Below are 1106 nucleotides of genomic sequence, written 5' to 3'. Positions count from 1 at the left end.
AAAAGTTTTTTTTAAATAATAAAGTGTGGGGCTCCAAGTTGACTGTGCGATGCTGACCAAAGCTGACGAGAGGAGACTGCAGCCCCCACCTGGCCTCCACGGCTCTGTGGCTGGCTGCAGTCATGCCATATGTCTTACCCATGTCCCAGGATGCCGGGACAGGGGTAACAGAGAGGGGTGGCACCGAGTAGTCCTCTTGGGCCAGGTCATCTGGGCAACTGCCAACCCCTCCTGAGCTCCCTGGCTGCCCAGGGTCTGGCCTCAGAGTAGAAGCAAGAGGGGTAGAAAGCACATGGACAAGGATGGTTTTCACTTGAAGAAAAGCAGGATTTCTCGCATCTGAACGTGGCTCCAGAGAAAGGCAGAGTGTAACCCAAGGGTTAGTCATAGATCCACCATGGATTCACCAAGCCTCCAGTCCTCCGTCTTAATGGGGCCAGGTAATATCTGGGCCATACACTGAGGTGTTTTCCTCCATATTTCCTTATAACTTTTGCTCTTGCCTCACTCAAATTGCACAATAGGCAATCAAGTTGTTTCAGCAGAATCAGAGAGAGATTTAAAAGAACAACAAAAAAAGGTATCAGACGAAAGGACTGGGAACAATGCATCATTTGTCAGAGTCAGGTTTTTTTGCTTGTTTGTTTGTTTGTTTTTTCAGCTAAAAGAAATTTAAAACCTGCTGGGCTGGGAGAGAGAACCATGTCAGAGGCGGGATGCTGGAGACGCCCTGAACCCTGCCCTTCCCTAGGCCGAGGCCAGGGTTACAGAGATTACAAAAATCTCAGGTGGATTTGGAGAATCTTAAAGTAGAAGGGTCCTGGGCCTTTTCCCCAGGGGAGCCCACAGAGGATCAAGCCTGGCAGAGTTCCCAAGTGCCAAGTGTAGTGTGGGAGGGACAGAGTAGAAACGGCTGTGTGTGGTGTACCTGAGCAAAGAGGGCCTTGGGAGCCCTGTGGCTTCCTGTCGTGGAAGAGAGAAGCTGGATTCTCCCATGCCCCTTAGCAGCCTCTAAAGTGGGTGAGATTGCTCTCACCTCTGGAGAGGTATGCTTTGAGAATGAGGGATGGTGGAGCAGCAGTCTGGGTCTCAAGGGCTGACAGCAG

This window comes from Homo sapiens, chromosome 9 (assembly GCF_000001405.40).
Source record: "Homo sapiens chromosome 9, GRCh38.p14 Primary Assembly".
In the NCBI taxonomy this organism is placed as follows: Eukaryota; Metazoa; Chordata; class Mammalia; order Primates; family Hominidae; genus Homo; species Homo sapiens.
Note: the sequence above shows the minus strand (reverse complement) of the source record.